This window comes from Homo sapiens, chromosome 1 (assembly GCF_000001405.40).
Source record: "Homo sapiens chromosome 1, GRCh38.p14 Primary Assembly".
Lineage (NCBI taxonomy): Eukaryota > Metazoa > Chordata > Mammalia > Primates > Hominidae > Homo > Homo sapiens.
The window spans coordinates 180,015,174-180,038,345 of NC_000001.11; the positions used below are offsets into that span (position 1 = coordinate 180,015,174).

The 23,172-nt window shown below is 35.7% G+C and overlaps 1 protein-coding gene across 27 annotated transcripts in view; it reads left to right on the forward strand.

The window, feature by feature from the left end:
* Positions 1-23,172, forward strand: part of CEP350 (centrosomal protein 350) — a 160,066-nt gene that overhangs the window by 60,364 nt on the left and 76,530 nt on the right. For 14 of the 27 annotated variants that reach the window (NM_014810.5, XM_047435442.1, XM_047435400.1 and 11 more), the window contains 7 exons: positions 676-797; positions 4,776-5,836; positions 7,525-7,675; positions 9,246-9,409; positions 16,147-16,321; positions 18,689-18,909; positions 21,753-21,916. In NM_014810.5, the coding sequence (NP_055625.4) occupies positions 676-797; positions 4,776-5,836; positions 7,525-7,675; positions 9,246-9,409; positions 16,147-16,321; positions 18,689-18,909; positions 21,753-21,916 (2,058 nt within the window). The remainder of the gene's footprint in view (positions 1-675; positions 798-4,775; positions 5,837-7,524; positions 7,676-9,245; positions 9,410-16,146; positions 16,322-18,688; positions 18,910-21,752; positions 21,917-23,172) is intronic. The other 13 variants (XM_047435459.1, XM_047435399.1, XM_047435466.1 and 10 more) reach the window with 2 other exon arrangements.

The window sequence follows — 23,172 nt, forward strand, 5'->3', positions numbered from 1 at the left end:
GAGGCAGGAGGTGTGCACCACCATGCCTAGGAAATTGTTTATTTATTTATTTATTTATTTATTTATTTATTTATTTATTTGAGACGGAGTCTCCCTGTCGCCCAGGCTGGAGTGCAGTGGCGCGATCTCGGCTCACTGCAGGCTCCGCCCCCCGGGGTTCATGCCATTCTCCTACTTCAGCCTCCTGAGTAGCTGGGACTACAGGCGCCCGCTACCTCGCCCGGCTAATTTTTTGTATTTTTATTAGAGACGGGGTTTTACTGTGTTAGCCAGGATGGTCTCGATCTCCTGACCTCCTGATCCGCCCGCCTCGGCCTCCCAAAGTGCTGGGATTACAGGCGTGAGCCACCGCTCCTGGCCGGAAATTGTTTATTTTTTGTAGAGACAGGGTCGCACTGTGTTGCCCACACTGGTCTTGAACACCTGGACTCAAGTGATCCTCCCACTTTGACCTCTCAAAGTGCCTGGCTCTCCGTTGGATTTTAGATGGTGTTTTGCTATTAGTAATGTTTGTTTTTAAGACAAAATAAATTTTAATTGGTTTTGTTTGACAAAAAAAAACCACTACATTTTATGATCTTTGTAGAGCTGAGGTGACTTAATGTTTAACTTAGGTGCTACCTGAATATATCTTTGTGACAGAACTCATATAAATTTGATGTCCTTTTCTCCTAGGCCAAACCAGGGTATCAGCCATCTGGAGAATCTGACAAAGAAAACAAAGTACAGGAACGTCCCCCAAGTGCATCTTCCAGTAGTGACATGTCTCTCTCAGAACCTCCACAGCCTCTTGCAAGGTAAAAAGGGAAGAATGAAAGATGATTAAGATTCTTTTCATGAAATTTAGCGGAGTGGTCTATGTTCAGAGAATTTTGTTGACTTTTGTGAACAAGAGGGCAGAGAGGTTTATTTACAAATTGGTTCATATCTTCTGAAATTTAGGCATAGTGCACATCTGTACTTACTGTATACCCTAGGCTAATTGTTCAAATTTTACCTTTTAATGTAAATGTCAGTTTCTTTTACAGTTGGAAGCACTCTTGCCTTCTGTGAACTAAACACACAATAAAAGTGTGTTGGATGAATGAATGATGGTGAAATTTTAAAGTGTTTTTGGTTAATTTCAAACGGGTTTTTGTGTCTACTGCTATTTAAAATTTCTTATGTGTAAGAACAATTTAGCCATTGTACTTTCGAGAGCTACCTTTGGATATGCTTGTGGACACATTAATAAGGACTAGGAAGGGATCTGATTTGATTTCAGATAGTCAACAGACTATTTTACCTTAAAATACTTTTTTGCTGTAATATATTGTTTGCAATAAAGTAAACAAAAAAACTGTGAGTTTGGAAGTAAAGGTGATGTTTAGGTTATGTGGTTATAAATTATACTTTGTAATAATAACCATTTTGGAAAGGGAAAGATTTTGAAACTCTTTGAGAACACGTAAATAGAAATCAAAATCACTATCCAATTTTGGGTTATGTTTTTTTTTTTTTTTTTTGGAGACAGGGTTTCACTCTCTTGCCCAGATTGGAGTGCAGTGGCACAGTCTTGGTTCACTGCAACCTCCGCCTCCCAGACTCAAGCTATTCTCTTGCCTCAACTTCCCACGTAGCTGGGATTACAGGCATGTGCCACTACCACCTGGCTAATTTTTGTATTTTTAGTAGAGACTTTGTTTCACCATCTTGGCCAGGCAGGTCTTAAACTCCTGACCTCAAGTGATCCACCCACCTCAGCCTCCCAAAGTGCTGGGATTACAGGCATGAGCCACCGAGCCTGGCCCATATGGTCCTTTTTTTACCCCATTGTCCCTAGAATAATACTGTCAATAAAAATAGCTAACATTTATTAATGTTTCTTAGGTTCCAGGCAATGATCTAAGTACTTTGCATATATTATTTTACTTAATCCTTGTAATTCCTTGAGTTAGGTACTGTTGTTATTCCTGTTTTACAGAAGAGGTAATTGAGGCCTAGAAAGCTTTCTCAAAGGTCAAAACATTAATGATAGAGATAGGTTTTAATTTAGCCAGTGTGACTCTAGAAGCCTGTGCTTTAACTACTCTACATACTACTCCCCAAAAGTGAAATGTTTCATATGATTTGCTTAAGGTTCTAAATACATTTCAAACTTTAAGTATAAATAAACTTAACATTTTTGTTTTGAATTTGAATGCTTCTATTTATTTACTTATTTTTCTAAGTGTCGTCTCTGGAGAGGATTGAATGCTTTTAGATGGGTGATACTCTCTAGTTCATCTCAGTCCTATTGTTGTCAGACATACCCTGCTATATTAATGTCTTCAATTTTTATCTTTCTCTGAATTTCCTTCTAATTCTAAACAAGTTATCCAATATTAAAAGCAAGCCAAACACAAACAAATCTAGTGTTAGACCATACTACCTTGTACCAGTTTCTCACTTTTCTTTTAATATCCAACTTCTTTGACTCCTGATGTCTAACTTATTGCGTCCACTTTCTTGCTACCCAGCTTCTGAGCTCCCCCATTCCCGTTAATAGTTTTAGCATAACTTTATGTTTAAAAGCATGTTACTTTTTGCTTAAAATTTGGCATTTCTTTTCCTTACTCTTTATAGCATATTGTGTTAACTACCTGGAAAACTCCAGGTTTCATATCTCACCTTGAAAACTGAAGATCCAGCTTAACAAACACTTTCCTTGGCTAGCAGAGTTAATTGCTGCTTCATCTATACCCTACTGAACTTTTTAAATCTTTGTTTTAGTATTTGTGATGTCTTATTTTAGCTGTTTGTTTGTCATCCCTGCTAGATCTTGAGATCTTAAAGTGTAAGGATTAAGCCTTTTTATTTGTTTTTAATTTGGAGACAGGGTCTTGCTTTTTCACACAGGCTAGAGTGCAGTGGCACGATCATAGCTTACTGCAGCCTCAACCTCTTGGACTCAAGTGATCCTCCCACCTCAGCCTCCTAAGTAGCTGTGACTATAGGCATGCACCACCACGCCTGGCTAATTTTATTTTGTTTTTTATTTTTTTGGAGATGAGGAGCTTGCTATGTTGCCCAGGCTGGTCTTGAACTTCTGGCCTCAAGTGATTGATTCTTCTGCCTCAGCCTCCCAAGTAGCTAGGATTACAGGTGTGAGCTACCATGCCCAGCTCAGGATTAACTGGATTAAGTATATTCATTTTTGTCTCCTGTTTCTCTACCATCAACATATCACCTGCTATAAAATTGGCATTCTAAATACTTGAATTTAAAGCTCTTGGATTTTTATTCATCAATATCTTTTATATTATAACTTCCCTTGTATTCCTATTACTACCAGCTTAGTTTAGGCCCCAATAGCCTCACACTTTGCATTTGTAATAGCCTATATTCTAAGGCATAGAATCTGTGCTCTAGTCTTTCTTCCTTCATTCTAATGACATGCTTTTCAACTTATTATTACCCTGGTTACCCCCCTTCAGATGACTTATTTTAACCCAATTGCAGAAGTTTACATTTATCCATATTAGTTTGGTTTACGATTGCAGCCTATAAAAATAAATTCATCTCATAATTTGGTCATTTGTTGGGTCAGCCATGCCTCCCAGCTTTCTGTCATCTGCAAGTTTGATAAGCATATCTTTGTGTCATCATCCTAAAATAATGGACAAGACCAAGGACAAAGCCTCATGTTCGTCTTCTCTTTCTTTCTTTTTTTTTTTTTTTTTCTGAGACAGTCTTACTGTGTCTTCCAGCTGGAGTGCAGTGGCACGATCTCGGCCCAATGCGTCCTCCACCTCTCGGGTTCAAGCGATACTTGTGCCTTAACCTCCCAAGTAGCTGGGACTACAGGCACATGCCACCATGCCCACCTAATTTTTTGGTATTTGTAGTAGAGATGAGTTTCGCCATTTTGCCCAGGCTGATCTCAAACTCTTGGCCTCAAGTCATCTGCCTGCTTTGGCCTCCCAAAGTGCTGGGATTACAGGCATCAGCCGCTGTTCCTGGCCTGTTCCTCTAAGGGTCTTCTTAATAGTTGACATCATCCTGTAATCTCTCTGTAGTATCCCTTAATATAGAGGAAGTCTATGGTCTGGAAATATAGGTAAATACACATAATGTTGTTTAGGACATCTTTATTCTGTTTCTAGACTTAATGGATACCCTACCCTGTATATTTGTATTTATAGTTGCATATTTATAGTTGGCACTGATAGTTTTGCATTTGATTGTTTCACGTTCATTAATTTTTTACAAGTATTAATAGGTTATAATAACCTCCCTATTTAGCATGTACATTGTTAAACATAAGTGTTCAGCATATAGTAAATATTTGTTGATTAGAATAATCTATATCATGTCTACATTAATATTTAGCAATTTTAAGCATTTCTCTTTTATGTAATGTTATTTTAAAAATTATAATCAGTATTGTAAGGAATTCTGTTTATAGAATTTTAAAGATCTTATTGCCTTTTTAATAGTTTTTTAAAAATATGGCATCTTAGTTGAAAAAAGCAGCTTGCAAAACAGTATATATGGTAAAATCCCATTTTTGTACAAACAATACCACCAAAACATAATGTACAAATAGAAAAATGTTTGGAAGGATATAATTCTAAATGAAATATTAACAGTGCCTCTTTTTTATTGTTTTGCTGAGTGATCTTTATCTTTTTTATATTTTTTATCTGTCCTTTTTTTGTTGCAGTGCATCCTCATTACTCTTATAATCAGATAAAAAAAAAACTTTTTTAAAATGGTGGTTTAGTTAACTAACATATTGTGACTTTCATTTCCAGAAAAGACTTGATGGAATCTACATGGATGCAGCCTGAAAGATTGAGCCCACAAGTTCACCATTCTCAACCACAGCCTTTTGCTGGAACAGCTGGAAGTTTACTCTCCCATCTCTTGAGTTTAGAGCATGTAGGAATTTTGCATAAGGATTTTGAATCTATTTTACCAACCAGGAAGAATCATAATATGGCTTCAAGGCCATTAACTTTTACACCTCAACCATATGTGACCTCACCAGCTGCTTATACAGATGCCTTGTTAAAACCTAGTGCCAGCCAATATAAGAGTAAACTGGATCGTATTGAAGCCTTGAAAGCAACAGCTGCTTCTTTGTCCAGCAGAATTGAAAGTGAAGCCAAGAAATTAGCTGGGGCCAGCATTAACTATGGGTCAGCATGGAACACTGAGTATGATGTGCAGCAGGCACCTCAAGAAGATGGACCTTGGACCAAGGCTGTAACTCCACCTGTGAAAGATGATAATGAAGATGTTTTCTCTGCCAGAATTCAGAAGATGCTGGGAAGCTGTGTATCTCATGCAACTTTTGATGATGATCTTCCTGGTGTAGGCAATCTTAGTGAATTTAAAAAGCTTCCTGAGATGATAAGACCACAGAGTGCCATATCAAGCTTTAGAGTGAGATCCCCTGGTCCCAAACCAGAAGGGCTACTGGCACAGTTATGTAAAAGGCAGACTGACTCTTCTAGCTCTGATATGCAAGCCTGTTCTCAAGACAAAGCCAAAATATCTCTTGGTTCCAGCATAGATTCAGTCAGTGAAGGGCCTCTTCTTAGTGAGGGGAGTCTCTCTGAAGAAGAGGGAGACCAGGATGGACAGCCCCTTTTGAAAGTAGCAGAAATTTTAAAAGAAAAGGAATTTTGTCCTGGAGAAAGAAATAGTTATGAACCCATCAAAGAGTTTCAGAAAGAAGCTGAAAAATTCTTGCCACTTTTTGGGCACATAGGTGGTACACAAAGCAAAGGACCATGGGAAGAATTGGCAAAGGGAAGTCCACATAGCGTCATTAATATTTTTACAAAATCCTATCAGTTATATGGAAAAGGTGAGAAAAATAAATATAGCTTGTACTGTTTGTATATTAAGATGAATTATTTTATAATTTCTGTATGAGATATGTACTTTAGTACACATTTTTCGTTGAGTGGATAATGGAGACTTATTACTGTCCGTATTAGTCATCTTCTAAATTTCCTGCAAGCCTTAAGTAAGAGTATTAGTAATTTAATCTTTAAAATTTCATTTTAAAATTGTTATTATCATAAAATAATAGTTGAGACTGGTAGCTTTAGAAATTTTTATCTAGTTCAGAGAAATTCATAGATGATGTTCAGGATTGGATATATATCACGTATATACTACATTTTCTGTGACCATAGTTATGTACTTCAGTAGAAACTAAGTATAAACCAGGCGCGGTGGCTCATGCCTATAATCCCAGGACTTTCAGAGTCCAAGGCGGGCGGATCACTTGAGGTTAGGAGTTCAAGACCAGCCTGGCCAACATGGTGAAACCCCACCATTACTAAAAATACAAAAAATATTTAGCTGAGTGTGGTGGCATGCACCTGTAATCCCAGCTACTTGGGAGGCTGAGGCACGAGAATCGCTTGAACCTGGTAGGCGGAGGTTGCAGTGAGCTGAGATCATGCCACTGCACTCCAGCTTGGGCGACAGAGCGAGACTCCTCAAAAAAAAAAGAAAAGAAACTAAGTATGTTTCTTAACACAGTGATGATTTGTGACTTCTTGGGAATATAGCAATCAAGAATTGAGAGGGATAAATGTAGTAACATTTCTAATATGAAAACAACTCTATTACTGTTTGTTAAAACTAATTTGAATAGCAATCAGACTTTAAACAATAATGTAGCTATATATTTGATTCCTAAAACAGTAACTTCTAAAGTTCCCTTCTTATACCTGAAATCCTGCAACACAGTTTTCTTTTCTATGATAGACTCAATTCCTTCAAGTCCCTTTCTCTATCCTTCCTGCTATATATGGAATCTGCCCATTTTATACTAACATTATCTTAGAATTTCCGGATTGGAAATTTCCCCTCTATATAGTGAATGGATTTCATCTGTTCCTCTTATGCTCAACTGGGTATCACATTGCTTTTTCCTAGAATTCATATTTAGGTATTTCTTAATGGTCTTGTATAGACCTTCATATGCTATTGCTTTCTTTTGTTTAGCCACATTTCTATTAGTGGTAATTTTAAATTTGTTTTGATTTGAAAGTTATTTTGATTTCTTTTGATGAAAGTAAAATGCTTAAATCAACATCATTTTTAATAAGAAAATTGTTTCTTCTTAAATTCTGTTAAATTTTCATTAAGATTTTATAGTTAAACTGAAATATTTAGAGATGAAATGAGAATGAAATGTTGTCTGGAATTTGCTTTAAAATAGTCTGGGGGGTGGGAGATGAAGGTAGTAGGAGGTTTATTTGAAACTAGATTGGTGATGTATTGGTCATTGTTGAAGCAGGATGATGAATACTTTGGTTTCATTATACTAGTCTCCCTGTTTTCTGTATGTTTTAAAATTTTCCTAATTAAAAGCTTTAAAAAAGTATCATTGGATATAAAGGTAAATAGAAAAGAGGCACTATTAAAGGAAACTAAAATGTCCCTAAGCCCATATTGCTAATCTCCATGTATGGGATGCTTTTCTTACAGTTTCTTGATTTTCGTTTTTAACCATGTTTCAATTATTACTTTTGTCAGGGTTTGAAGACAAGTTGGACAGAGGAACATCAACATCACGGCCTTTGAATGCCACCGCAACTCCTCTAAGTGGTGTTTCATATGAAGATGATTTTGTCTCCTCTCCAGGGACTGGGACTTCGACAGAAAAAAAATCAACTCTTGAACCTCAGTAAGATATATTGGCAATATGGAATAAACTCTGAAGAGTGAGAAAAATGTACAAATGAGAACTCTGGTCTGAATATTAGCCAAGTTTTGCTCATTTAAAAATACATATAGAGGCTGCACATCATAGTGGAGATCCAGAGCATGGGCTCTGGATCCAGACTGCCTTTGTTTAAATCCAGGCTCTCCTGGTTATTGGTTGTTTGTATTTATACATATTACTTAGCCTTCCTATGCTTCTGCTTCCTTCTCTGTAAAATGGGGACATTAATAGTACCTGCCTGCCTCATAGAGTTGTTATGAGTATTAAATGAAATATAGGGAGGCTGAGGCACGAAAATCGCTTGAACCTGGGAGGTGGAAGTTGCAGTGAGCCGAGATTGCACCACTGCACTCCAGCCTGGGTGACAAAGCTGACCCTATCTCAAAAAAAGAAAGAAAAAAAAATCACTTACTTAGAACAGGGCCTGGCACATAGTAAGCAGAGTATAGGTTATGAAATCAGTCCATGAATTCCTAGTACAGTATTGGAGTATTGGGAAATTATTCCATGCTATACTAACATAAAAAGCTTAAGAAATGGTTTTCTGTGATAGAATTGAGGAAGATCAGATAGATACATGACTCCATGGTTCCAAGTAATAAGTAATTTTCTTTATAATCAAGAAAACATTGAAAAATTTGCAAAGCTTTGAAAAACAATAATTATAATGATTATAACATCTGATAATTATTGGGCACTTAGTGTGCAAGACACTGAAAGGACTGAGGGACTTTACCTGTATTAACTCATTTTTATGATAGCCTGATGTGGAAAGTATTACTGTTATCATTTCTGTTTTAGACAGCAAACTGAAGCAGAGGTTAAATTACTTGTACATAGTCACATAGTAAGTGAATCAGACTTCGTTGGAGAGAATTTTCTCCCTATATTTAGCTGCCATAAAAATTTATCTGTAATTATTCATATTTAATATCATCTTTTTCAAATATTACAAATTGTAATCCATGTAAAATTATTAGGTAATCTTATACAAATTAGTTAAATCTAAATAGATTAATAGGAATAAGTATAAAAATTATATGAGAAAAAGCATAGTTTTAAGTTTTGAGCTCTAAGGAAAATATGAAATTTTTAAATAAAAACCTTCAAAGATTTATGGTGACATTTAATATCACCAATCAATATGATTTGATGCATTTTATTTCCAGGTAGAGGTAGAACATATTAAGTTATTGTTCTCCATAAGAATATAAGAGGAGAAATAGTTATAATATATAAATTATAAATTTGAATAGAAATTGAGGCCATATTTTCCAGTATTCAACATTATACATTTTTCTCTAAATATTAGTTTTTATTGGTTTCACTTACCTTTGATTTTTCTTAGTAATAAATTGAACCATAGGGAACAATCCAGGCTTATGGTGGTTAAAAAAAAATAATAAAGTGTTAAGCCATCTTTGATTGTAGTTATAGTCTCCTAGTGATTACATAGATTTTTAAATATCTTTAATTTAGCTGTGTTGTAAGACTTTTCTTTCTGGAACTACTATTATTTATTCTTTGACAGTAGCACTTTAAGCCCTCAGGAGGACCATTCTAACAGAAAGTCTGCCTATGATCCTTCCTCTGTGGATGTTACCTCCCAGCATTCATCAGGAGCCCAGTCTGCTGCATCGTCTCGTTCATCTACTTCTTCTAAAGGAAAGAAAGGAAAAAAGGAAAAGACAGAATGTAAGTGGAATTCCACATGGTAACTTTTTCTCTTACCAATGATTTTGTTGTAGTAATCTAAAGTTATGATTTGATTGCATAAGAAGTTAGAAGAATTTCTTATGGTAATGTAATTAGCTTTCATATTTATTTATCATTATAATAATACCTTTTGATATATAACATCATGAATCTTTTCCTTAATACAAAAGGAATACATTTGCAATGATAAAAAATTAAAAATTAGAGATAAACACTCTTCAAAGAAAGACAAATTTCCTTTGAGACTTCTGTTCAGAGATTAACTACTATTAACATTTTTGATGTATACGTAAAATTATACACACACATGACTTTATTTATTTACTTTTTTTTTTTTTTGAGACGGAGTCTCACTCTGTCGCCCAGGCTGGAGTGCAGTGGCGTGATCTTGGCTCACTGCAAGCTCCGCCTCCCAGGTTCATGCCATTCTCCTGCCTCAGCCTCCCGAGTAGCTGGGACTACAGGCGCCCGCCACCGCACCCAGCTAATTTTTTGTATTTTTAGTAGAGACGGGGTTTCACCATGTTAGCCAGGATGGTCTCGATCTCCTGACCTCGTGATCCACCCGCCTTGGCCTCCCAAAGTGCTGGGACACATGACTTTATTTTAAAAACAAATGTAAATAATTGCTTTGCAGTTGGTTTTTTAAAAAAACTTTATAGTATATACATCTCTGAGTATCATTAAATATAATACCCAAATGTCCTTATCTATAAAATAGAGATAATAATAGATATGGTAATTTTTAAGCTTATATGAAATTAAGGGAGATAATGTATACATTCCGGTACCTAGCACTGTAGCTGACTCATTGGCATTCAGTAAATATTTTTGAGTGATTGAGATGCCCTTCAATGTCCTCATTTCTACTCTTGGCTTAAATTTGCTCTATAGGCCTACGGAGATGGATAATCACTGTACAAAGTGATTAGGCAAAGGCTTTGTAAACTCACAGGATGGTGTCTAGCTAGGGGAATGATTTTGCTTCCAAAAATGTTTTTTCTGGAAGCTGGAAGCTGTCATTCTCAGCAGACTAACACAGGAACAGAAAACCAAACACCGCGTGTTCTCACTCATAAGTGGGAGTTGAACAATGCGAACACATGGACACGGGGAGGGGATCATCACACACTGGGACCTGTCGGGGGGTTAGGGGTAAGGGAAGGGAGAGCATCAGGACAAATACCTAATGCATGCGGGGCTTAAAACCTAGATGATGGGTTGATAGGTGTAGCAAACCACCATGGCGCATATATACCTCTGTAACAAACCTGCATGTTCTGCACATGTATCCCAGAACTTAAAGTAAAATAAAAAATACATAAAATAAATCCTACTCATTGAGCTAAAAGTCTTCAGGGGGTGGAAGGAACAGGAATAGGAGGAAGACATCAATGAATATAGAAACCTATATTTAAAAGTAAATCTCCTCTAGTTCTTTCTCTTAGAGATAACGGATGTTAACATTTAAACCAGCCTGGCCAATATGGTGAAACACCGTCTCTAAAAATACAAAAATTAGCCAGGCATGTTGGTGGGTGCCTATAATCCCAGCTACTCGGGAGGCTGAGGCAGGAGAATCGCTTGAACCCAGGAGGCAGAGGTTGCAGTGAGCCGAGACTGCGCCATTGCACTCCAGCCTGGGCGACAGAGTGAGACTCTGTGTCAAAAAAAAAAAAAAAGTATTTATTTTATTTATTTCACTTTATCTTATTTATTTTGCAGAGACGAGGGCCTCACTTTGTTGCCCAGGCTGGTCTCGAACTCCTGGGCTCAAGCAATCCTTTTGCCTCCGCCTCCCAAAATGTTGGGATTGTAGGCATAAGCCATTGCCCTCTGCCTATTTTAATTGTGGTAAAATATACATGACATAGAATTTATCATTTTAACCATTTTCAAATATACAGTTCAGTGACATTAAGTACATTCACATTATTGTTGCAAGCATCACCACTGTCCTTCTCCAGAAATTTTTCATATTCCCCTACTGAACTCTGTATCCATTAAATAATAACTCCATTCTTCTGTCCATCAGCCGCTGGTAACCACTGTTCTGTTTTCTGTCCCTATCAATTTGACTACTCTGCGTACTTCATATAAGTGGAATAATAGAGTATTTGTCCTTTTTATCTTGCTTATTTCACTTAGCATAATATCTGACTCACCGTTCATCTATGTTGCAGCATGTATCAGAATTTCCTTTCTTTCTATTGCTGAATAATACTCCATGCTGTGTGTATGCCATATTTTGTTTATCCATTCATCTGTTGATGGACATTTTGGTATTTTCCACCTTTTAGCTATTGTGAATGATGTTGCTATGAACATTGGTGTACAAATACCCTATTTGAATCCCTGCTTTACCCAGATACAGAATTGCTAGATCAAATGGTAATGCCATGTTTAATTTTTTGAGGAACTGCCATAATGTTTTCTATAGCAGCTGTACCATTTTACTTTCCCACCAGCAATGCACAGGGTTCTATTTTGTCTACATTTATGCCAGCACTTTATATTTTCTGCTTTTTTGATAATAGGACATCCTAATGGGCGTGAAATGTTAACATTTTTAGCAAGAGTCCTTCCAGACAATTTGTAGGCACACACAAATAGGCAATTTTATGTGTATGGGATCACATTTTACATGCAATTTTATTCTGTCTGTAGGGTATGGGTATCTTTTTCTGTCAGTAAATATGGATTACCATTTGTAAGGATTACCCACTAAATAAACTCTAGACCCATTAAGTAACAGAATACTATTCTGTTTTGGCTTTTTTTGTTTTGTTTTTTGAGATAGGGTCTCACTCTATCACCCAGGCTGGAGTACAGTGGTGTGATCACGGCTTATGGCTCACCGTAGCCTCAACATCCTGGGCTCCATCAGTCCTTCCACTCAGCCTCCCAAGTAGCTGGGACTACAGGCACACAACACCCCACCTGGCTAATTTTTCTATTTTTTTGTAGGGATGGCTTCTGCCATATTATCTAGGCTGGTCTCAAACTCCTGGGCTCAAGCAATCCACCTGTTTTAGCTTCCCAGAGTGCTGGGATTATAGGCGTGAGCCACTGCACCTGGCTTGTTATTTGAATATATTATAATTTATTTAACTCTTTCCCCATTGCTGGATATTTAGGTTATTTTCTTTTTTCTTTATTCCATTATAAATACTACTGCATTGAATATCCTTGTAAATACACCTTTATGCATTAGTCTGTTTTTTTCCTATAGGGGAAAATCCTAGAGATAAGATAATGGGGCAAATAATATGCCATGTTTAAAATGTGGTACATTTTGTCAAATAGCCTTTCAGAAAGTTAGTGCCAGTTTATACGTCCAATGAGAATGCTAGGAGAAATTATTTTTAAATCATTAACCTAATATAAACAGTTTAGAAGTGTTCTGAAAGTCTTTGTAGGACATTTAGACATCATTTTACCAGCACTTCCGAAACTGTATTTTCTTGTGAAATACAAGTTTAGTGGTATAGACTGTTTCATAAGTGTTCTGAGAATAAAAGAGCTCCATGGTTCCAGAAATTTGGGAAATTCTTTTAGAGTGAAACAAGATTCTTTCCTGTAAGACTCATCAACACTGTAATATGCTAGTGCATTACTTATTTTAGGATAAGGATGAGGCTGTAGTATGAAGCATTTTCCAAGTGTATTTTGACTACTGAATCATCAATCATCATTTTATGGCATTAGAATTCAGCTGAACACAGTTTGGGAAATGCTGATCTTGCTCAATTCTTATTTTGCAATTGTTAGCGTTTGCTAAGTTAGTGTCTCACCTAAGGTCACTAACTTGTTATTGGCAAAGCCCAGATTCTGACTTCTGACTCCCAAATCCAGTCTATCTTCTGGTATGATATACTGCACAATTTTGAAATATCATGATATAGGTTGGGCATGGTAGCTCACTCCTATAATCTCAGCATTTTGTGAGGCTGAGGTGGGTGGATCGTTTGATGCAGGAGTTCAAACTCCTGGAGTTCGAGACCAGCCTGGGCAACATGGTGAAGCCCTGTCTTTAGAAAAAATAGAAAAATTATCCAGGCGTGGTGGCGCACACCTGTAGCTCCAGCTACTGGAGAGGCTCAGGTGGGAGGATCAGTTGAGTCCCCAAAGTTGAGGCTGCAGTGAGCCATGATCATGCTACTGCACTCCAGCCTGGGCAACAGAGCTAGACCTGTCTCAAAAAAAAAGAAAAAATCATGATTTATTGAGTATATGTGTATTAATAATATGATTTAATGTAGGTTTAAAACATTATCATCTAAAACAGATAAGATGAAGTATAGGTAGCATTTTGTGGCTTTCAGTTTCCCTAATCCTCACCGGCAATACCAGAAAAACCCTGATATATTTCACTTTCCACAGCATCTTCTTAAACTTAGTTTCTCCTTCATCCCCAAGTTCTAAAATCAGTGTGATTTTAATTGTATATGTTCCATCTGGTGGTGAAAAGGAGTGTCTGCCTGCTCTGTACAAAAATTTACCCAGTGTAGTTGAAAGTAGTTGGTAGATTAAAGTGGTAATCCTAGGGGAAAAAAATTTGCTTTAAGATATGGAATATGGCTTTACTTGGCAATCTTTTAATGTCAGGACATTTTCTTTTCATATGGGTCCCTGGACTGGAGTGTAGGCCTTTCTTGCACAGAATGTTATCTTGTCTATAATTTCTAGTTGTTTAAAGTCAAGAAAAAATTTTAAGTTGTGTATTTATTGTCAACAAACAATATTAAGTGAATAAAGCGTTCTTACTATGAAAGCAGTACAGCTTTATTGTAGAAAAATTAGCAATAATCAGTATTAACAGCTTGCTTCTAGCCTCGGGATCCTAAATAGACTTTATAGAGTCCTTTCTAATTGATTAATAATATTCTGTTTTAAGTGTACAGTTGAGTGGCATTAAGCACGTTTATACTGTTGTACAATCATCCCCACCACTCAACTTCAGAACTTTCTCAGTTTCCCGTACTGAAGCTCTGTATTCATTCAGCAATAACTCTCCATTCCTCCGTCCCTTCAGTTCTGGCAACCACCATTCTAACTTTCTGTCTCTATGAATTTCACTAGGGAATTTAACCGTTTTCAACTGTACAGTTCATTAGCATTAAGTACATTCACATTGTTTTGCCATCATGATCACTATCTATCTCCAGAACATTTTCATCATCCCAAACTAAAATCTATACCCATTCAATAATAACTCTCATTCTCCTCTTCTCCCAGCACCTAGTGACAACTGTTTTACTTTCTCTCTATGAATTTGCCTATTCTAGCTGTGTCATGTAAGTGGAATCATATTTGTCCTTTTGTGACTGGCTTATTTCACTTAGCATAATGTCTTCAAGGTTCATCTGTATTGTAGCATGTGTCAGAATGTTCTTCCTTTTAAGGCTGAATAATATTCCCGTGTATGTATAAACCACATTTTGTTTATCCATTCATCAGTTCACGGACATTTGGGTTGCTTTCATCTTCTGACTATTTTGAGTAATACTGCTATGAATACGAGTATAAAGGGTATTTTTTATTTCACTTTTGTATTTTCTTTTGCTCTTTAACCATATATATCTTTAAAGTTTAACTTTAAATTTTTTGTATATATATATATATATTTTAAAGTATATATAGTAATTTTACAATAAATTTTTACAAAAATTTTAACGTATATATACACATAAGTATATATGTGTATATATGTATATATATACATATGTGTGTATATATAAACATAATATATATATAATATGTGAAATATATATTTTATATTTAAAATTTGGGCCACTATTAAAATTTATATGCAGTTTTGTAATCTGCTTTTTTTAAAAGGTAATAATAAATATTTTCCCATGCTGCTGTTTAAACATACAATCAAGATGAATAGTGTACTAGACTAGAGTCAGGAGGCCTGGGTGTATGTCATTTCTGCTGTTGATCAGAGCAGAATACCTTGTGAAGCAAGTTATTAAGCCCCATAGATCTCTAGTTACCTCATCAGTAAATTTGGGATATAGTACTTATTTCATAACATGTTTAAGAGCAATAAGGTACTATATATGAAGTGCATTTGAATTACAATGTCCTATATAAATGTTCAGGTTACTATTATCTATGTGATTTAGACAGGTATTCTCTTGTTAGAAATGTAGATTAAATTTCTTTGAGTTACAGAGTTACCCATTGAATAACATGCATAATTTTTGTTTCAGTCATCTTCTTAAGATATATTCCTATGAGTAAAATTATTGAGAGTCAGAGAATGTGAATATTTTTATAAATCAGGCTACATAGTTCTTACCATAGACTTTTTCAAAAGAATTATGTAGTTCAATTAGCAGTTGGTACGATTTTTCTCCCAGCTCTGGATTTTATCCTTTAAAAAATTCTTTTTGGTTACTTTTTCATAGGGATAGATTAGTATTTTATTGTTATTTAATATATTTATCTTTTATTACTATTGCACTAAGAATGATTTATTAATAGCAAGTGGAATTAATGGAAGAAACTTCACTTTCCTTAAATAGAGACAGAAGGATGAACTGCTTTATTTTAGATATGGAAAACAGATTTTGAATATAGTATAAGTCAAATTTTAAATATTCTGATTTATACTTTTTGTTATTTTATTGAAATCTATATATCAATTATCTCTCTCAATAACTTCTAATATTGGGAATCAGCTTTATAAGAAATTTACTTTACAGGGTTGGATTCATTCACTGGAAATGTTCAGAACTCACTTCTTGATGAGGAAAAAGCAGAACGTGGCTCCCATCAAGGAAAGAAATCTGGGACCAGCAGCAAACTTTCTGTTAAAGATTTTGAGCAGACTCTTGATACAGATAGCACTTTGGAGGATCTTTCTGGACATTCTGTGAGGTAATGTATATTTTATACTGTAATTTATATATAATTAAAGATATATAATTGATATTCAAAAAATCCATATAATGAATTTTAACTCAGCAGTCCCCTTAACTGTGCATGTCTGAGCTACTACAAAATTCTGTATTTTACAAATAGACTTCATAGCTTTGTTCACAGCTCTAATCTTTATCTGTATATTAGAATATGGTTATGTATCATCTAAACTGTTACAACCTCTTTCTCAGGAATTCTCTCCCTCTAGCACAGCCCAGTTTTCTATGCTGAATGCCGTTGTTACAATTGTTTTCTTGGCTCAATCTTTTGACTAAGCAGCTACCCTGCTTAGGGTGCTTTGTGAGGTCATAGATCAATTCTAAGTGCATAACTCTACTTGAAGTGTTTTCACTGGGCTACCACAAACTATCTCATTTCTTTTGTCTATAAATGTCAATTCTCATCTATTCATCCATTCTTTCAACACAGCTACTTAGCATCCTTATTGTCTTATTGTTTATTTCTTCCTCTCAACTTTTCTGCTGAACTTACTAGACCACTCAGGCAGATTTTGAAATCTCACTCTTACTGATTATGGAGCTTGCGTACTGTTTTTTCTCTTCTTTCTAATATTGTATACGATGCACTTAGTCCGTTGCTTACAAATAACCTTCAGTTGTTGCTAGCTATACAGTTCCTACTCATTTGTCCATATGACTTTTCATGTGTGCACTGGTTTTGTCTTGGAAATTGAGGCTCTGAGAAGACACAGATTTATTTTTTCCTTTTAAAGTAACTTTGTGCTTTTTCTAGTACTGTGACACATAAAGATTACCATTTTTAGTGCTTTCATGTTACAAATAATTTTGCATCATTAATACCATTATTTCTGTGTTTAAAATTAAATTTTTTTTCTTTGTCAGTGATTTTGGAATTTAGAAAACTTTACCTTTCCTTAAGAATTACTCTGATGATTTAACTTGATGAAATTTACAAAGTTAAACATTTCTTAATGAGATCCATAGCCAAATAAGTTTCATCAATGCCCCATACTGCAATCTAGATTTCCCCTTCCCTACCCATGGAGATTCACAGAGATAAAATAATTTGAGGCTTTGATAAGGAGAAGTCCAGATTTTTCAAAAATTGTTTAACCTCTTTTTTTTTTTTCCTATTTGCCTGTAGTCACTCTTTGTCCCCAAGCTCTTTTGCTTTCTTTTGGGGAAAGCTTATTAACATTATTGGAAATATACTTTTAGAAATGCTAGTCTAGCTAAATTTTATCTGCATAGCAAATATAAATTCATCTTATAAAACCCTAAGGTGAGGTGCAGAGTACTTTGTTTTCTTTGATGTTGTGTTTTAATTATTTAACAGAAATCTGTTAAAATGATCATTCTTTTTGTGTTTCATACATGAAATAGACTGTTAGAAATAGTATTTATCTAAAGTATCAATAGAAAATTAAGGGTCAAATAAACACATGAGTGCCTCTCAGGCCTACTTCTATTCAACTATTTTTATGCTGGGTATAAGAGAAATTTTTACCTTTGAAAGCTATTTCATCATTTTATTAGAAGCTAAAAGCAAACTTGTTTCAGTATATTGGCAATATAACTGTGCTAAAATGCTTTATAGAGTATCTTTGAATAATTTATTCAGTAAATAAATATTCAGTGCAAGGCAACATGCTTGATGTTACAAGAAATAATACCTTTAATGAGCTTACTTTTTCAAAGAAAGGCTAGAAACGTGCCTTGTATTGAATTAAATGCCTTAAGAGTTGTTACAAACTGTTATGTTACTTATTAGAAAGTTCAAGAAAGAGATGTAGTATTAAAAAGCAGATATAAAGAAATGAAGTATATTAAGTATTTAGAGATGAATAGTGTGAAATTTTTTTCTGTGATTCTTGGATCAACAAGAGGGTATAACAAAAGAATAGTTTTTGTCTTTTCTTACCTTTTAACATAAAATATTTTATTCGCTTTCAGAGATGTATTTTAAGACTCATATATGGCTCCAATTTTATTGCTGTAGAGTGTCTATTTTAGAAGACTTTGCTTCATGCTATAATGAGTGAATCATAGTATATGTACACTGTAGAGGGAAGAGTTCAGTGCTAGTTTAATCAAGCTACTCCCTTTCCATTGTATTTAGGGCAGGGTTTGTGCCTTGCTTGTTCACCACTGTAATTCTAGCAATTAGAGGAATATTCATAGTCATTCATTCAGCATAGTGATTATATTAATGAATAAATGCCTAAATCACAACTTTTTAAAGCTAATGTTGATAGTTTTTTTATATGTTGTTCTTTTGAATTATTTAGCTGGTTTACAAAGTACTTTTCCTTCCTCTAATGTTTTTGTGGATCAAAACTTCTAGTGTCTCATCAGATAAGGGAAGATCTCAGAAAACTCCAACTTCTCCCCTGTCACCAAGTTCCCAGAAATCATTGCAGTTTGACGTTGCAGGAACTTCTTCAGAAAGATCTAAGTCGTCAGTAATGCCTCCAACTATAACAGGATTTAAGCCTAATGCACCTCTCACTGATCTGAACCCGGCAGCCAGCAGAACAACGACAGAGAACATGGCTCCAATACCAGGTAAGTAGATTCATGCAATTGTAATTTTTAGAATACGATATGAAATTTTTTTCTCTCAACATTCCTTTTCTTTGTTTGAGTTGAGTCATAGAGAAATATTATTTCAAGTGAATATGATTACTTTTCAAGTATTAAAAACTGCAAGAAATTAAATATTGAAAAGCACGAGAGGTTCAGTAATGTTGACTTTTTTCCCATCTTGTCAGCCAGCATTAGTCAAAACATATCTGAAAAATATGTCCCATATGTGCACTCCTGTTTATATGTATATGCATGTATACACACATGTACGCATGCACACACATAGAAGTAAAGTACATTGTATAGGCATACCTTGTTTTATTGTGCTTGGCTTTATTGCATTTCACAGATACTGCGGGGTTTTTTTGTCTTTTTTTTTTTTTCTTTACAAATTAAAGGCTCATGGCATTGAACAAATTCATCAGTGCCATTTTTCCAGCAGCATGTGCTCACTTCATGTCCCTGTGTCCACAATTTTGATAAATCTCTCAATATTTCAGGCTTTCCATTATTACTATATCTGTTACGGTGATCTGTGATTAGCGATCTTTGATGTTCCTGTTGTATTACTAATTGTTTTGGGTGCCACCAACCATGTCCGTTTAAGAGGGCAGACTTAGTGGATCAATGTTGTGTGTGTTCTGACTGCTCCACCAACTCACCCCGTTCCCCTCTTCAACCCTCCCTCTGGCCTCCTTATCCCTGAGACACAATAATATTAAAATTAGGCCAATTACTAACCCTACAATGGTCTCTAAGTATTCACGTGAGAGGAAGAGTCACATCTCTCACTTTAAATCAGAAGCTACAGATGATTAAGCTTAGTGACGAAGGGATGTCAAAAGCCAAGATATGCCAAAAGCTAGGCCTCTTGTGCCAGTTAGCCAAGTTGTGAATGCAAAGGAAAAGTTTTTGAAGGAAATGAAAGGTATCACATGAATGACAGATAAGAAGACAAAATAGCCTTATTGCTGATATGGAGAAAGTTTTAGGGACCAAGATAGAAGATCAAGCCAGTGGCATCTTTAAGCCAAAGCTTAATCTAGAGCAAGACCCTAATACTCTTCAATTTTGTGAAGCCCTAGAGAGGTGAGGAAACTGCAAAAGAAAAGTTGGAAGCTAGCAGAGGTTAAAGAAAGAAGCCATCTCTATAAAATAAAAGTGCAAGGTGAAGCAACAAGTGCTAATGTAGAAGTTGCAGCAAGTTATCCAGAAGATAGTTGATGAAAGTGGCTACACTAAACAGATTTCCAACGTAGATGAAATAACCTTATGTTGGAAGAAAATGTCATCTAGGACTTTGATAACTAGAGAGAAGTTAGTGCCTGGCTTCAAAGCTTCAAAGGATGAGCTGACTGTCTATTTAGGGGTTAATACAGCTGATGACTTAAAGTTGAAGCTAATGCTCATTTACCATTCTGAAAATCCTAGAGTCCTAAAGAATTAAGCTAAATCTACTCTGCCTGTGCTGTATTAATGGAACAAGAAAGCCTGAATGACAGCACATCTGTTTACAGCCCTCAGGTTTACTGAGTATTCTAAGCCCACTGTTGAGACCTACTGCCCAGAAAAATAAAAGATTTTTTTCAAAGTGTTTTTTTCAGAATTTGAAAAAATATTTATTCCTGCTTATTGACAATGCACCTGGTCATCCAAGAGCTCTGATGGTCATAAAAAAGGAGATTAATGTTTTTATGTCCCCTAACACAAAGTCTATTCTGTACCCATGGATCAAGTAGTAATTTCAACTTTTAAGTCTTATTATTTAAGAAATGCATTGTGTAAGGCTATAGCTGCCATAGATAGTGATTCCTCTGCTGATTTGGGCAAAGTAAATTGATCACCTTCTGGAAAGGATTCACTGTTCTAGATGCCATTAAGAACAGTTGTGATTCGTGGAAGGAGATCAAACTATGAGCATTAACAGGAGCTTGGAAGAAGTTGATTCCAGCCCTCGTGGATGACTTTGAGGGGTTCAGAACTTCAGTGGAGGAAATAACTGCAGATACGGTGGAAATAGCAAGAGAACTAGAATTATAATTGGATCCTGAAGATGTTACTGAATTGCTGCAGTCTCATGACAAAAGTTGAATGAATGAGTAGTTGCTTCTTATGCATGAGCAAAGAAAGTGGTTTCTTGAGATGGAATCTACTCCTAGTGAAATGACAGTAATTATGTAAATATTACATAAACTTTAATTGATAAAGCAGTGGCAGGGTTTGAGAGGATTATCTCCAGTTTTGAAAGAGGTTCTACAGAAAGTGGGTCAAATGCTACCAAACAGCATTACATGCTCCAGAGAAATCTTTTGTGAAAGCAAGAGTCAATCGATGCAGTAAACTTCATTATTGTCTTATTTTAAGAAGTTGCCACAGTCACTCCAACCTTTAGCAACCACCATGATCAGTCAGTAGCTATCAACATTGAGGTACGACCTTCCACCAGCAAAAAGATTAGGACTTGCTGAAGGCTAAGATGATCATTAGCATTTTTTTAGCAATACAGTATTTTTAAATTAAAGTATGTACTTTTTTTAGACATAATGCTATTGCACACTTACTAGACTACAGTATAGTGCAAATATAACTCTTATATGCACTGGTAAACCAAAAAATTTGTGTGACTTGCTTTATTCTGTTATTTACTTTATTCCTTTGGTCTGGAACTGAACCTGCAGTATCTCCAAGGTATTCTGTACTGAGTCCCAGTTTTTTCTACAAAGGAAAGCAAAGTTGATTTTGGCTCTTAAAATGACAGATTTTAGAAATCTGAGTGTAATTTCATGTTAACTTTTCCATTTGACCATTGTCATGCCTTCCAGGTTCTAAGCGCTTTTCTCCTGCTGGCCTCCATCATCGTATGGCAGCAGAACTCAGTTATCTGAACGCCATTGAGGAGTCGGTGCGCCAACTGTCAGATGTAGAAAGAGTTAGAGGCATTTCACTTGCTCAGCAGGAGAGTGTGTCTCTAGCTCAGATAATAAAGGTATTTTTGGAGTTTTTTAGCTTTCTGTGGTTTTTCTTTTTTCTTCGCTATTTAAAATGGTCTTAATGATGACTTAAACTACTGTGTCAAATAGAAAAAAATAGTCTGCCATATAGCACCTATAAATAAATAGTCCTGGGAAAAATCTGTCGGGACACTAAAAAGATACAGTGTTTGGCAGCAGAACAATAATAAAATCATTCTCTCTCAAATACTTTGTTTTCCATGTTTTCTGCTTTGTTTAGTTGACAGTATAAAAATCATCTAGTCAAACATTCTTAATATTTTCTCCTTTCATTGATAGGTGAGAGAATACTGAGGGTTTTTTTTTTTTTTTTTAAGTTCTATTTGTACCAAAAAGAGAAGTTTCTGAGATCCGGGTGTTTGATAAAGCCAGGATAATGTGGACTTTTCCTTAGCAAACAAAAATCCAGAGATGGTCTAAGCGCTCTTCCCTTAGTGGAGATGCTTTAAACAACAACAGCAACAAAAAAACCCCTGAGTTATTATTCACATAGTATAAAATACACAGATTTTAAGTGTACAATTTTGATGAGTTTATTTATTTATTTATTTTTTTGAGTTAGAGTCTCACCGTTGCCCAGGCTGGAGTGCAGTGGCACGATCTCGGCTCACTGCAAGCTCCGCTTCCCAGGTTCACGCCATTCTCCTGGCTCAGCCTCCCAAGTAGCTGGGACTACAGGTGCCCGCCACAGTGCCCGGCTAATTTTTTGTATTTTTACTAGAGACAGGGTTTCACCATGTTAGCCAGGATGGTCTCAATCTCCTGACCTCGTGAACCACCTGCCTCGGCCTCCCAAAGTGCTGGGATTACAGGTGTGAGCCACCGCGCCTGGCCCAGTTTTGGTGAGTTTTGACCAGTGTATATACCTATGTAAGAACCACCCTAATCAAGATATAGAACCCTTACATTGTTACCCCAGAAAGTTGACTTATGCCCATTTTCAATTACTCCCCCTTCCCAAAGGCAATTACTGTTCTGATTTCTGGCACCATAGTTTATTTTTGCCTATTCTAGAACTTTGTATAAAAGGAAGTGTACTTTGAACTCTGTGTTTAGCTTATTTTATTCAATACCAATTTAAGATTTATCCATGTTGTTTTATCAGTAGTTTTTTGTTTTGTTTTGTTTTTTGGTGAGTAATATTCCATTAATATCACAATTTGTTTATCAGTTTTCCTATTGATGTACATTTAGATTATTTCCAGTTTTTAGCTATTGTGAATATTCCTGC